General features: G+C 42.9%; 1 protein-coding gene and 2 pseudogenes across 1 annotated transcript in view, besides 6 other annotated features; 2 read left to right on the top strand and 1 right to left on the bottom strand.

The window, feature by feature from the left end:
• Positions 1-6,124, bottom strand: part of SGPP1 (sphingosine-1-phosphate phosphatase 1) — a 43,850-nt gene extending 37,726 nt beyond the window's left edge. Inside the window, exon 1 of the mRNA NM_030791.4 lies at positions 5,320-6,124. Within this exon, the coding sequence (NP_110418.1) occupies positions 5,320-6,003 (684 nt within the window). The 5' untranslated portion in view covers positions 6,004-6,124. The remainder of the gene's footprint in view (positions 1-5,319) is intronic.
• Positions 5,270-5,771: an enhancer, noted in NCBI's record as "H3K27ac hESC enhancer chr14:64193929-64194430 (GRCh37/hg19 assembly coordinates)". NCBI's record gives its function as "activates a minimal SCP1, AML or CMV promoter by ChIP-STARR-seq in naive H9 embryonic stem cells {active_cell/tissue: H9 hESC(naive)}" and the evidence as "EXISTENCE:reporter gene assay evidence [ECO:0000049][PMID:30033119]".
• Positions 5,270-5,825: a biological region, named in NCBI's record as "H3K27ac hESC enhancer GRCh37_chr14:64193929-64194430".
• Positions 5,416-5,465: an enhancer, noted in NCBI's record as "active region_8515". NCBI's record gives its function as "activates an Ori minimal core promoter by ATAC-STARR-seq in GM12878 lymphoblastoid cells {active_cell/tissue: GM12878}" and the evidence as "EXISTENCE:reporter gene assay evidence [ECO:0000049][PMID:35858748]".
• Positions 5,726-5,825: a silencer, noted in NCBI's record as "silent region_5829". NCBI's record gives its function as "represses an Ori minimal core promoter by ATAC-STARR-seq in GM12878 lymphoblastoid cells {active_cell/tissue: GM12878}" and the evidence as "EXISTENCE:reporter gene assay evidence [ECO:0000049][PMID:35858748]".
• Positions 6,116-6,215: a silencer, noted in NCBI's record as "silent region_5830". NCBI's record gives its function as "represses an Ori minimal core promoter by ATAC-STARR-seq in GM12878 lymphoblastoid cells {active_cell/tissue: GM12878}" and the evidence as "EXISTENCE:reporter gene assay evidence [ECO:0000049][PMID:35858748]".
• Positions 6,426-6,615: an enhancer, noted in NCBI's record as "active region_8516". NCBI's record gives its function as "activates an Ori minimal core promoter by ATAC-STARR-seq in GM12878 lymphoblastoid cells {active_cell/tissue: GM12878}" and the evidence as "EXISTENCE:reporter gene assay evidence [ECO:0000049][PMID:35858748]".
• EIF2S2P1 (eukaryotic translation initiation factor 2 subunit 2 beta pseudogene 1) lies at positions 12,734-14,278 on the top strand (annotated as a pseudogene).
• Positions 14,503-14,564, top strand: RNU7-116P (RNA, U7 small nuclear 116 pseudogene; annotated as a pseudogene).

The raw sequence follows: 15,331 nt of genomic DNA on the forward strand, positions 1-15,331 counted from the left end.
AAGAATACAATCATATATTTCAAAAATAATATTACTGCAAGCATACCTTAAAAATCACACACAAAGTGTGATTTAAAATGAATTTTCTATATAAGCTGCTGAGTCAGTCTGAGCCCCTGACACTTACTGGCTAGGTTACTTTGCTTAAGTTACATAATATAACCTCCCTGTACCTCAGTTTCCTCATCTGTAAACCCATGCTAGTAATAGGAACATTGGGGTATTATAGAAGAGTAAATGAGATAAAAGACATTTCAAACAATGTCTGATTCATAGTAAGTGCTTAAAAATATATATTAACAGCTGGGCGCAGTGGCTCATGCCTGTAATCCCAACACTTTAGGAGTCCAAGGTGGGCAGATCACAAGGTCAGGAGTTAGAGGCTAGCCTGACCAACATGGTGAAACCCTGTCTCTATTGAAAAAAAAAAAAAAAAAAAATTAGCCGGGCGTGGTGGGGCGTGCCTGTAATCCCAGCTACTCAGGAGGCTGAAGTAGGAGAACTACTTGAACCCAGGAGGCAGAGGTTGCAGTGAGCCAATATCGCACCACTGCACTCCAGCCTGGGCAACAGAGTGAGACTCCATCTCAAAAAATAAAAAATAAAAAATAAAAATATTAACAATGCTATAACATTATTATTATAAAATATAATTATTATAATAAAAAGTAGTAAAAGCACACAAAATGAAAGACTAGTTGGCAATGAGTTGTCTATAAAGTAAGTGCTACAGCTAATTTTTAGCAGGGCAAGGTGGCTGACGCCTGTAATACCAGCACTTTGGGAGGCCGAGGTGGGAGGATCACTTGAGCTCAGGAGTTCAAGACCAGCCTAAGCAACATGGCAAAACCCCGTCTCTATAACAAACAAACAAACAAACAAAATTAGCTGGTGGTAGTGTGTGCCTGTGGTCCCAGCTACTTGGGAGGCTGAGGTGGGAGGATCACTTAAGCCTGGGAGGTCGAGGCTGCAGTGAGCCGGAATCGTGCCACTGTACTCCAGTCTGAGCGACAGAGTAAGACCCTGTCTCAAAAAAAAAAAAAAAAAATTAATCTAAAACCTTCTAATTAAATAAAGTATACAGTTAAAACTGATTACATTCCATATTATTTAAAAATTAAATTAATTCAAGTCAAACAGAGCTTTAAAAATTAAGAAATTTTATTTTTGAAAAGAACATGCAAACATAAATGGAAAAGGAACGTCATATTGTTTATCTTATTCTTCAAAGGACTATTTATTGTCTTTATATCAGATGCTCCTTATTTCTTAATTTTTTTTCCAATTCAGGCTACAAAAAATTCCAATGAATAATATGAGAGCAATAACCATTATCCTAGGCAATGGATCTCAAGTTATTTAATCCTTGGGAAAAGGTCATAACATTTTCTATCCTCCATCACCATAAAATTTATATACAAAACTCTTTAAGTAATTACTTGGAGCTATACTATTCCAATCTCTCCTTTGTCTTATAACGTACCTTAAAAAAATTCAGGCAGGGTGCAGTGACTCACGTCTGTAATCCCAGCACTTTGGGAGGCTGAGGGGAGTGGATCACGAGGTCAAGAGATCGAGACCATCCTGGCCAACATGGTGAAACCCCGTCTCTACTAAAAATACAAACATTAGCCGGGGGTGGTGGTGTGCGCCTGTAGTCCCAGCTACTGAGGAGGCTGAGGCAGGAGAATCGCTTGAACCGGGGAGGCAGAGTTTGCAGTGAGACAAGATCACACCACCACACTCCAGCCTGGGTGACAAAGAGAGATTTCGTCTCAAAAAAAAAAAAAATTCAAAGACTGGAATTTCAAAGAAGCTGAGACAGCAATCTTGAAGAAATACAACTAACTCCTCACTCATCTAATGGGTCAGAATCTCTGGGAAACTTACCCTGGGAAATGTAGAAATCTGCATTTTTAAACAACCCCGAGTTTGTACGCTGTCTTTTTTTTTTGAGATAGGGTCTTGCCCTGTCATCTAGGCTGAAGTGCAGTGGTGCAATCACACCTCACTGCAGCCTCAACCTCCCAGGCTCAAGTGATGCTCCCACCTCAGCCTCCCTAGTAGCTAGAACTACAGGCATGCGCCACCATGCCCAGCTGATTTTTGATTTTTTTTTGCAGAGACAGGGTCTCGCTATATTGCCCAGGCTGGTCTCCAACTCCTGGGCTCAAGGGATCCTTCCGCCTCAGCCTCCCAAAGTGCTAGGTGTACAGGGATGAACCACTACACCTGGCCATATACTGTCATTTTAAGTGTAAGTGAGGAATAATGAAACAGAAAGGATTAATTTAAAATGCTCTGGGTGGTGAATCTTGAGCAAATTTCAATGAGGGCAGAAACATTAAGTAGTAGGTAGTAGTGAAGTAGTAAAGCCAAGACAAAGGAATGGTATAGAACTCAGTTTCAAGAGATGTTTCAGCACGCCAGGCATATATAAGTAACCATACCTGTCCCAAATAAGCAGCTGAGGCACAGCAGATAGGCAAGACTGCCAACCAAAACTTATTAGAAAAACACCAGGCTTTCATTATTTAATTCTTCCCCCAGTTTCTAGGGGAAAGGCTTTCTATATAAGCCTCCAATGCAGTACAATACTAATTCACAGAGTAGAGGACCCAAACAGCTGAAGCAAAGGAAGGTACTTTTGTTTTCAATAGATAACAAGGATCTTTAAAAAAAAAAAAAAAAAAAAAAAAAGGAAAAGGAAAAGGAGGCCAGGCGCGGTGGCTCACGCCTGTAATGCCAGCACTCTGGGAGGCCAGTGGTGGGGAGGCCGATGAGCGGGGGGCGGCTAATTTTTTGTATTTTTTAGTAGAGACGGGGTTTCACTGTGTTAGCCAGGATGGTCTCAATCTCCTGATTGAGATCAGGAGATTGCAGAGAGCCGAGATTGCGCCACAGCACTCCAGCCTGGGCAACAGAGCGAGACTCCGTCTTAAAAAAAAAAAAGGAAAAGCTGGCACTTGGGAGGCCAAGGAGGGAGGATAACTTGAGCCCAGGAGTTCGAGACCAGCCTAGGCAATATAGTGAGACCCCGACTCTTAGGGAAAAAAAAAAGGAAAAAGGTTAAAAAGCCATCTTGTTTTTTGTACTGGATTATTAGTCAAACATTTATAAACACAGAACTTTCATATAAAGGAGGCTTAGGCCAGGCGCAGTGGCTCACGCCTGTAATCCCAGCACTTTGGGAGGCCGAGATGGGTGGATCCCCTGAGGTCAGGAGTTCAAGACCAGCTTGGCCAAAACAGTGAAACCACATCTCTACTAAAAATCCTTAAAAAATTAGCTGGTGTGGTGGTAGGCGCCTGTAATCCCAGCTACTCGGGAGGCTGAGGCAGAGAATTGCTTGAACCTGGGAGGCAGAGGTTGCAGTGAGCCGAGACTGCACCACTGCACTCCAGCCTGGGCAACAGAGCGAGACTCCGTCAGGAGGCTTTCTTTCAGAACAACTAACCGAAAAATCATGCAAATTTAGAGTGAAAAAATGTAAAATAAGAAATTTAAAGCATTACAAGATTAATTTTAATGTAACTGGTCAGTTTGCACATCTGTAAAATGACAGTTTGAAACTAAGTGATTTCTAACATCCGGTCTACTTCAAAGTCTAAAATTCTATGATACGCAAATTTCTTAAACTTTGAGTTAAATATACTAGGTTGTTTAAAAACTAAATCTAAGCTTATTCTGATAATTCAAATAACCCTGAAATGTTAGAATATCAATATCCCATAAACGATTCAGCAGTACTGTTTTCAGACTTCCAGTTAGTATGTGTCCAGAACAAATAAAGAGCAAAAATAGCTATTTTCTCTTACTTTGACTGCTAATACTAATAGCATACAAAATAGCTACTCACTGAGAAGGCATCATAAAAGGCTCTATTGTTACAGAATCCTAAAAGTCTCACGAAAATAAGAGAAACATCATCAGCTAACATCACCAGGCCAAACACAGCTCATTGAAAATCTTAAATTCTGAAATATTTAGATTAAATGAAAACTTCGAGATATTTATCTGTTACGCAAAACAGGTAGCACTGCTTCACAATCTGAACATCACCGTATAGCTCCTTTGGTTAAACAGAAAAAAACTTCCCATGGTACTCTTTCCTCCTAATTCTGCCATTCTTACTATGCACAATGCGTATTTTCCATGTACTGTAAGAGAGATGCACTACACAGAAGTATCCATGGGGACGAAATTTTATCTACACTGAAATTTAATGTGGGATAAGTAAGCTTATCATAATGGAGTTTTACACAGAATGTGTATTTCTCAATGTAAAATGATTTTGTGAAGTAAAGGGGGAAAAAATAGAGGAAGTTTGTTTCCTTAGAATCTCCACAATTACGCACTTTATTCTTAAAATAAGGGACTGGTCTGCAGGATTAACAAATCTTACAGTTCAAAGACAGATAAACATTGGAAGGCCAAAAGAAGTAAGCAAAATAAAAACGATTACCATTAAAAACTCTTCCCTTGGCAGTTTTCAGAGAGGGTTAAAAAAAAAAAAAATTTTCCTGATTGTCAGGCTGACCCTGCTGTCATATTTGCCATTTTTATAAACCCACTAGTTTGATCAAGAGCCCTATCTTTAAGAATAACTTTTAAACCATGCATTTTTAGAGTTAATGAGGCAATAACACTATAGTATTACAGTTGTAGCTCAACAACTGTTAGATACTACAGATTAGTGATCCAGAAGATAATCAAACTTTATCAGCAAAGTAGCAACCACACCCCTTAAAAACAGAACTCACCCTGTGCTCCATTAACTTCCATAAAGGGAACTTCGATGAAAATCGATTACTTCATTGCTTGGAACTAGCATGTTTGTTTTGGAATTACACTAACGTTTTGTAAACACTGTCTCACGGTAAAGCTAATGACTTTACCTCTTTCTGAAACAGTTTTAGGGAAGAAGGCACCATATATTACGGTGAAACTGGGTCTTAGTTTACATAGCGATTATTTAAAAAATTCACTTCCACTGTGCATTACAAGAATTAAAGCCGTTTAAAAAACTCAACCAAAGCCCAATGACAATGTATTACTCTAGGAAAAGTGTGTCCTTTGGGTTCTAAGGCATTAAATTGGAATTTAATATTAAAATAGAATTCAACGGCTAAGTATCCAGTTTCCCCCAATCACTTAATTTTTCAAAACCCAGAAAGGGCCTGTTTGCGAGTATTGTGAAAACCTGTGGAAAGAGAGGCTTTGGAGGGGAACGGTCGAATTAAAATAAATGCAGAGAGCAAAGAGAACTCCGAGTTCTTTGAACTCCCCCAGGCTGAACAGGACGAGAAGGAACCCTACCTGCCAGCGGCCATAGGTGAGGAGGACCATAGAAATGGGGATGGCGGTGCCGGACATGGCATGGGTGGAGGGCATGCTGTACTCAGAGTTGTAGAAGACCTCCAACTTGACCACGGGCGGCGAGGCGGGCCTCGGCCAGCGGATGATGTCCTTGGTGCACTGGCCCAGGTACATGACCAGCACCCAGATGACCACGAGCCTCCGGCCCACCAGAGGGTCCAGGTTCCAGATCCAGAAGGGGAAGAACAGGATGTAGAAGAGTTCGTTGCCCAGCTCCGTGCCGAAGCAGAACAGGCAGTAGAGCGGCCAGTTGCTCACGCGGGCCAGCTGGCCCTCCTCGCCCGTCAGCGAGTTGCGGCGCAGAGCGCCCGCGCGCCGCGGCGAGGCCGGGCCCAGCTCGGCCGCCAGCCCGTTCCGCACGCCGTTGGGGGCGCCGCCGCCGTCCGGCTTGGCCGGGCACTGATTGCGGTCGCTCCCGGGAGGCTGGGGGCCTCCAGGCGCCCCTGGCTGCCGCCCTCGCAGTCGAGGGTCTCCGGCGAGAGGCGCCTCCGCTTTCTCATCCTCCCTCCGGTCTGCTGAGCGGCGCGGCGGCGCTTCCACCCCGCACAGCCGCTGGAAACGGGCCACTTTCTGCGGGTCCTGCAGACGGCCAACCAGCTGGGCCAGGCGCTGCCTCAGCGACATGATAACGGAACCCCCGGGAAGGCGGGCCGGCCTCCGGCGCAGCCCCGAACTGTCCCCGCGCTCCTGGCCAGCGGCAGCGGAACCGGCACAGCGCTCTACCCTCCGGAGTCTGCCGGGTGACGGCGCCACAGGCCGCGCGCCCCCGCCCCGCGCGCGCCGCGCCCCGCCCCGCCCAGCCCCGCCCCCACCCGGGCTCCCTGAGGGGCCGGGCCGCGCGGGTCCGCCCTGAGCGCATCCGGCCGTGGCTTGGCGCTGAGGATCGGCGGGCGGCCGCTTTGAGGTCCCGGGTAATATCCACCAGCAGGCGTCGCGGCGTACGTCTGGTGGGACGCGGCGTGTCCCCCTGCTCCACCTTCAGCCCTTCTTCTCCGCGGGCTAGTGTCGCCGGATTCCCTCAGCCAGAAGTTGACTTAAAGAGGCCACGATCCCGGTGCCAGCTTGCGCAATGCCTGTGACCAAGCAGCCGGGCATCCTGCTGGCACAGAACCAAATGGTGAATGATCAATGAAGGCGAAGCAACTACCATGAGTTCGGAATCATTCGACTCAAGTAATTAACAAGTAATTACAGAGCTGTCCCAGGCGACTGATGTTCGGAAAACCATGTGCCAATTGACCAGTGGTGACAAGACTACATGTAGATCCCAAGACAGGGCCAGGTGATATTAACAGGTGTGGTCTGCAAAAGAAAAGCCAGCCACCTACAAATTCAAAATACTGTGTCATTTATCAAATATTTTGGTATATGTTAAGGGAGCACAGGTGTTCTTAAGTGTAAAATTTCCTTTTCCTAGATTCTAATACCTAGAGGGCTTGCACAGAATAAATGTAGAGAATGAATGCAGTGTATAGATTTTTGAGTTTGGTAACGTTAATTTAGACGCTTAACTTCCGTGTCTCACAAGTTACCAACTTGACTTCTAGCTAGAGCAGTTTATAAGGTCTCTGAACTCCTCAGGTCAGGTGAATGTCTTTTATATATACCTAGAGAGAGAGAGATGAGACAGGGTCTCGCTATATTGCCCAGGCTGGTCTCCAACTCCTGGGCTGAAGTGATTCTCCTGCCTTGGCCTCTCAAAGTGCTGTGTTTACAGGCGTGAGCCACCACACCCGCCATGATCAGGTGAATGTCTGTAATTAAAGAATGTGAACTACTTCCAAGAAACAGGCTTGAAATTGTCCCATGCCCTTAAAACAGTAGAAATACTTTCCTTCAGGCGTGGTAGTTCATGCCTATAATCTCAGCACTTTGGGAGGTCGAGGAGGGAGGATGGCTTGAGTCCAGGAGTTTGACAACAGCCTGGGCAACATAGGGAGATCCCACCTCTACAAAAAATGAACAAAATTAGCCGGGCAGGGCTGGGCACAGTGGCTCACGCCTGTAACCCCAACACTTTGGGAGGCCAAGGCGGGCGGATCACCTGAGGTCGGGAGTTCAAGACCGGCCTGACCCACATGGAGAAACCCCGTCTCCACTAAAAATACAAAATTAGCCGGGCGGGGTGGTGCATGCCTGTAATCCCAGCTACTCGGAGGCTGAGGCAGGAGAATTGCTTGAACCAGGGAGGCAGAGGTTGCGGTGAGCCGAGATCGCGCCATTGCACTCCAGCCTGGGCAACAAGAGTGAAACTCTGTCTCAAAAAAAAAAAAAGAAAATTAACCGGGCATGGTGGCCCACACCTGTAGTCCCAGATAACTGGGGGACTGAGGCGGGAGGATTATTTAAGCCCGGGAGGTCAAGGCTGCGGTGAGCCCTGATTGTGCCATTGCAATTCCAGCCTGGGTAACAGAGTAAGACCCTATCTTAAAAAAAAAAAAAAAAAAAAAATTTCATTTCGCAGGGACAGGTACTCTCCTCCTCCCACTCCACTTGCTAGGCTGTGGCCATAGAAAGAGGAATAAATCATCACCCATGCTCTCAAGTTGTTCACAGTTTAGGGGAGATAAAGAAAGACAGGACTACTTCTAGAGTATAGAGAAGATGGCAAGTGTAAAACAGACATAAACAGCATGCCTCAGAAAGGAGGACAAGTTTGACTAGGAACAGGAAGAAAGGTGTTAGGAGGTGATCCTGTAGAGCTGGATTGTTTTACAGAGCAAAATATGAATAGGTGAAGAAGCCCATTTTAGGAAGAGAAAGTGAAGGAAGATAGGGATATGCAAAAATGTATTTGGTAAACAATAGTCCATAGAGACCAGGTGCAGTGGCTCACTCCTTTGATCCCAGCACTTTGGGAAGCTGAGGTGGGAGGATCACTTGAGGTCAGTAGTTTGACACCAGCCTAGGCAACATGGCAAGACCCTGACTCTACAAAAATATTTTCTAAAAAATTAGGTGGGGGGCTGGTGCAGTGGCTCATGCCTGTAATCCCAGCACTTTGGGAGGCCAAGGCTGGTGGATCACTTGAGGTCAGGAGTTTGAGACCAGCCTGGCCAACATGGTGAAACCCCATCTCTACTGAAAATACAAAAATTAGCCAGGCATGGTGGCAGGTGCCTGTAATCCCAGCTACACGGGAGGCTGAGGCAGGAGAATGGCTTGAACCTGGGAGGTGGCAGTTGCAGTGAGCCAACATTGTGCCTCTGCACTCCAGCCTGGGCAATAGAGCTAGACTCAGACTAAAAATAAAGAAAAATAAAAAAATTAGCTGAGTGTGATGGCACATGCCTGTAGCCCTAGCTACTTTTAAGGCTGAGGTGGGAGGATTGCTTGAGCCCAGGAGTTAGAGGTTACGGGGTGCTACGATTGTACCACTGCACTCCAGCCTGAGCAGCAGAGTAAGACCTTGTCTCAAACAGTAAAAATTAAAAAATGAAAAAAAAAACCAAAAAACAATAGCATATAGCATAGAGTAGCAAGGGTGATTGGAAATGGGATTACAAAGGGAGGATAGGATTAGGTTGTAAATCCTTGAATACCAAAGGGATTTAATTTTGTAGGCAGTGGGAGCCATGGAAGGCTTTTAGGCTAGGGAGTGACACCATCAGAACTGTGTTTTAGAAAGATAACTGGGAAAGAAATCAAAGACGATTGTCAGAGGTCAGAGAGTGAAGGCTAGGTAAATAATTAGAAGATTATTGCAGTCATCAGGTGAGAAACAATGACAGCCTGAACTAGGACCTTGGTTCTGGGGGATTGGAAGCGGGGGATAGATTTGAATGAAATTTTGGAACTAGGAAAAAATTAAAATGTTTCATTTGAATTCATAGGACTGCAGGCAAATATTAGTCTGTTCCTGGTTAGAACAAACTTGTGTCTAATTTCTTTTTTTTTTTTTCTTTTTTGAGACGGAGCCTTGCTCTGTCACCAGGCTGGAGCATGGTGGTGTGATCTCAGCTCACTGCAACCTCTGCCTCCTGGGTTCAAGCGATTCTCCTGCCTCAGCCTCCTGAGTAGCTGGGACTACAGATGCCTGCCACCACACCCAGCTAATTTTTTGTATTTTTAGTACAGACAGGGTTTCACTGTGTTAGCCAGGATGGTCTCAATCTCTTGACCTCGTGATCCGCCTGCCTTGGCCTCCCAAAGTGCTGGGATTACAGGCATGAGCCACCGAGCCTGGCCAACCCTTGTATCTAATATTGAAGCATTAGCAATGTAGTGAAGGAGAGAAAACATGAGAAAAAGATACAAATATATTCAAAGAAGGTGTAAAGCCAGGTATACTAAACAGCTCTGGAAAAATGAGACATAAAGTAATCACTCTGTGGAGTAAGCAGAGAGGTGGCATTGGATTCTCTATGAATGGTTCTGTGAAACAGATGATTCGTTGGCATTTGAAGACAAGGAGCATCTTGGTTTATAGAGAGAAGGGGAGAACAGCATCAGGCTGAGGGATTGTGTATGTGCTTTTCTGTCAAAATAATTTGATTACAAGGGAATTATTCAGATTCATCTGAGGAATTTCCTGGTCTAGGGTCTGTTTATCCCAGAGATGGCAGAGGAAGAGGAAAGTATGTAAAACAAAGTAGAGGTGATCATTAGATCCCATGGCTGCATTATGAGTCCTTTAGCGCTGGTATATTTTGTCAGAATGCAATATCCCCTTTAACAGTAATGGGAACAAAGGTGATGGAGAAATGGAAATTTGACCTATAACTGCACTAAACAGGAAAAATAATACAAGCTGACAAAACTTGAAGGAGCTGACACTGGTGCAATAAATCATTGTTAATGAGAGGGACAAGGTCTTACCTACATACCAAAGAGCCATGGTATAAAGAATAGTAGTTTTGGTGGTTTCTACCCACATTCCCTCTGAAATTTTCCTAATAGAATATCTTAAAATTTAATAGAAATTTAACTATAGGCCAGGCACAGTGGGTCATGCCTGTAATCCCAAAATTTTGGGAGGCCAAGGCAGGAGGATTGCTTGAGGCCAGGAGGTCAAGACCAGCCTGGGCAATGTGGTGAGACCCTGCCTCTAAGAAAAAGAAAAAAGTAAAAAGAAAACAAAAAAATTTAACTATATTAAAAGATTCAAATATAAACATTCTATGGCAAGTATTTTTATCACAAAGCATACAATTTTAATTTTTTAAATTTTTGTTTATTTTCTGCATTCTCTCAGAATGTGAATAAACATTTTTTTGAAGAAAAAATATTGCTGCCAAGTAGGGATATACTACCTGGGTATGATTCAGTGTCTTTCCTGCAAAGCCAAATAAAGATATCGTGTGATATGAGAACTGTATCATATCCATGCTTCATAATTAACATGTTGATTTTCTTATATCCTTCTCTGTACTTGACTTTATTTTTATTTTTATTTTTATTTGAGATGGAGTCTTGCTCTTTCGCCCAGGCTGGAGTGCAGTGGCGTGATCTCGGCTCACTGCAACCTCTACCTCCTGGGTTCAAGCAATTCTCCTGCCTCAGCCTCCCGAGTAGCTGGGATTACAGGCATGTGCCACCACGCCTGGCTAATTTTTGTATTTTTAGCAGAGACGGGGTTTCACCATGTTGGCCAGGCTGGTCTTGAACTCCTGACCTCATGATCCACCCACCTTGGCCTCCCAAAGTACTGGGATTTTAGGTGTGAGCCACCTGGCCCAGCCCTGAGTTTAATTTTATACATTACTAAAATATTTTTTTGACACAGATATTCTATAAAGGTAAAATGTTGCTGTCATTTCTAATGGAACTTTCATAAAAGTAGTAAGGAAACAATATGCAGTCTTAGCCTTGGACATTTTACCTTCCATAGGCAAATTAAGTTTGTACTTTATTATATTGGATTGAGATAAATCACTGATTCAGCTACTTTTACAATGAGGTCAAAGAACTTTATCTTTAGAAATATACATTCTAAGTAATTTACGTTCACAACTATTTTACTTAAAATTATAATATTCATTTTAAACTGAATATTTATTGCCATTAACTTGTTTTCTTTTGCCTATCTGGAACCTAGTTTAATTTTTTATTGTTAAATGATAAAATGTATATATATTGCAAACTATTTGCCATAAATTGTTAACATTATAGAATTTTTTTTTCTTTGAGACAGAGTCTTGCTCTGTCACCAGGTTGGAGTGCAGTGGTGCAATCTTGGCTCACTGCAATCTCCACCTCCTGGGTTCAACCGATTCTCCTGCCTCAGCTTCCCAAGTAGCTGGGATTACAGGCATGCGCCATCACACCCAGCTAATTTTTGTATTTTTAGTACAGATGGGGTTTCACTGTGTTGGCCAGAATGGTCTCGATCTCCTGACCTCATGATCCACCCACCTTGGCCTCCCAAAGTGTTGGGATTACAGGCATGAGCTACCGTGCCCGGCCCATTATAGAATTTTTTTATTTTTATTTTTTTAGGGACCAGGTCTCACTATGTTGCCCAGGCTGGTCTTGAACTCCTGGCCTCAAGCAATCCTCCTGCCTCACCCTCCCAAGTAGCTGGGATTACAGGTGCAAGCCATGGTACTCGGCTATTACTAGAATATTTGTGATATGTTGATATCAGTAACAGTACATTATGGGCATCAATAAATATTCATTATGAGTATGTTATTTTTGAAAAATTAAACCTATGTTAATTAAATTCTTTATATATACACCTAATGATTTTATCCTGCATCTTTGATTAGTTTTATTGTATTTCTCAAAAATAGGATTTCTTCTGAATTCTCAAAAATCTCTGTGATAGCACAAATGTAAATAAAATGTGTGATGTATATTAATAAAATTTTATCATTAATGGTTAACGAGTTTTCTGCCTTCTAAGGTTTTTATGCCTCAACGTTTGAATCACCTTCTCCCAAGGTAAAATTCTAAGGGAAACTTACACAGAAATTGTCTAAAAGTATCCCAGGCAAAAAGCAAAATTAGAACAAAATAAATGAATGATAATAAATGGCCCATCACCCACTTTATTTCTAGCCCACATAGGCTGAGCTGACCGTGGAATTCTTCCTTATCGTAGAGACCATTTATACTCAGTTTTCCTTTCCCCGAACTCTGTAATATTTTTTTTAAATTACTCCCTAAGACTTTTTTCCTCTTTCTTTGTTAACAATTCTCTTCTCAGTCCTACTTTTCTTGCTCTTAAAATCTGATTGGGCTGGGCATGGCAGCTCACACTTGTAATTCCAGCACTTTGGGAGGCCGAGGTGGGCGGATCACCTGAGATCGGGAGTTCAAGACCAGCCTAACATGGAGAAACCCCCGTCTCTACTAAAAATACAAAATTAGCCGGACGTGGTGCCACATGCCTGTAATCCCAGCTACTCGGGAGACAGAAGAAAAAGGAGAAGAAGTCTTTTATGTTAGGTGAGGAAGGGGATACCCAAACAGAGGAAACTCAGCCTTCAGAAACAAAAGAAGTGGAGCCAGAGCCAACTGAGGACAAAGACTTGGAAGCTGAAGAAGAGGACAGCAGGAAAAAATATGCTCCTGATGATCGAGATGACTTGAACTTCTTTAATCAAAAGAAAAAAGAAAAAAACTGAAAAGATATTTGATATTGATGAAGCTGAAGAAGGTGTAAAGGATCTTCAGATTGAAAGTAATGTTCGAGAATCAGCTGAACCAGAGGATGACCTTGACATTATGCTTGGCAATAAAAAGTAGAAAAAGAGGATCAAGTTCTCAGATGAGGATGAAATACTAGAGAAAGATGAAGCTCTAGAAGATGAAGACAGAAAAAATCATGATGGTGTCTCATTCAGTAATCAGGCCCTGCTTGGGCAGGCTCAGAAAGAGACTACACATATAAGGAGCTAATGAATCGAGTGTTCAACATCATGACGGAAAAGAATCTAGATATGGTTGCTGGGGAGAAAAGGAAATTTGTCATGAAACCTCCACAGGTCGTACAAGTAGGAACCAAGAAAACTTCCTTATTTTTTTGAGACGGAGTCTGGCTCTGCCGCCCAGGCAGGAGTGCAGTGGCGCGATCTCGGCTCACTGCAAGCTCCGCCTCCCGGGTTCACACCATTCTCCTGCCTCAGCCTCCCGAGTAGCTGGGACTACAGGCACCCGCCACTACCCCCGGCTAATTTTTTGTATTTTTAGCAGAGACGGGGTTTCATCGTGTTAGCCAGGATGGTCTTGATCTCCTGACCTCGTGATCTGCCCGCCTCGGCCTCCCAAAGTGCTGGGATTACAGACGTGAGCCACCATGCTCAGCAGAAAACTTCTTTTGTCAACTTTACAGATACCTATTAACTATTACATCGTCAGCCCAAACATCTTGCATTTTCGTTGGCTGAATTGGGTACAAGTGGTTCTATAGATGGTAATAATCAACTTGTAATCAAAAAAAGATTCCAACAGAAATAGAGAAAATGTCTTGAGAAGATATATCAAGGAATATGTCACTTGTCACACATGTCAATCACCAGACACAATCCTACAGAAGGACACACGACTCTATTTCCTACAGTGCAAAACTTGTCATTCTAGATGTTCTGTTGCCAGTATCAAAACCCGCTTCCAGGTTGTCACTGGCAAGCGAGCACAGCTCCGTGCCAAAGCTAACTAATTTGCTAATCACTGACTTTGCAAAGCATGTTGTGGAGATGTGGCTGGACAGGTTTGCCATTAGAGTGGATATACCATTGTATTAAAAACAAGATAAAAAAGCTGCCAAGTTGTTTGGAGAGTGGTTGGTTGGTCTGAAATCCTTGCAAGACGCTGATGCTGAAGCTGTTGACATACTCCTTGCCTACTTTAACAACTATCAGAGAAACGTGCTATGGGATAAGGAGGTGCTTTTTTAAAATTGTTCATAGACTTCTGTAAAATGCAAGATAAATTAAAGTTATTATAACAGTGAAAAAAATCTGATTGATGCCTTTTTCCCCCCAACAATGATTGGAAATATAGATGTCGTACTGGTTCGAAATATTTTTTTTTTAAGTTCTCAGGTCTTGAAATCTCCAATCCCATCTGCACATTCACCATTTAGACATCTTGGTAAGTGTTGACTTGCCCCTAATATTTTGATGTTTATAGTAATGAATATACTAGTGTAAATTCTCAATCAGAATGGAATATTCTAAGTGCTACAACTCTTTTAGAATTTGCCCATCAGACTTTACGGTGCTTACCAGAAAGCTCCCCTGGCCACCCTGCAAAAAAGAGAATGGAATATTCTAGTTAATTAAATTTCCTGAAGAATGTAAACTTTTAATACACTTTAGTCCTTGGTGAAAATCATTTATAAAATGTGTTTAATATATTTTTGAATACCTATTTTCATAAGTATACTAGAATTTGCAGCCCTTTTGCATATTTTTTGTTTTATTTGTGTATTTATTTATTTATTTATTTTTATAGAGACAGCGTTTCACCATGTTACCCAGGCTGGTCTCCAACTCCTGAGCTCAAGCCATCCACCAGCCTCTGCCTCCCAAAGTGGTGGGATTACAGGCGTGAGCCACCAAACACGACCCATCTTAACCTTTTTAACAACCTATCATTTTTGTGTGTAGATATTTGAGGACTTTCATGACTTTTAAGATCAAGATGAGAAATAGACTCAAAGATTTGTGGAGCTGGAAGGGGCTTAGAGGCCATCTTCTTAATTTCCTCATTTTATGAGAGTCACTCAGTTTATTATGTGGTATTTGCTGACTGTGCTACGTTCTTGGAGATGCAATGTTAATAAGACATAGCTCCTGCTTTCAAGATGCTTGTGTCAAATAGTCTTTGAGAGTGCTATCCTTCTTCTAGGTTCCAGATTAGATTGGGTGTTGTGTTTTTAGCTTTCCTTCTCTGAATTCTCTCACCCATTCTTCATTCCTACTGCTACCCTAACCTAAGTTCAATTAAGAAAAGGAAGGAGTATTCTAGGAAGTGATTCAAGATTTCTTTGTTATAAAGTGAG

Source organism: Homo sapiens, chromosome 14, assembly GCF_000001405.40.
Source record: "Homo sapiens chromosome 14, GRCh38.p14 Primary Assembly".
NCBI classification, from domain to species: Eukaryota; Metazoa; Chordata; class Mammalia; order Primates; family Hominidae; genus Homo; species Homo sapiens.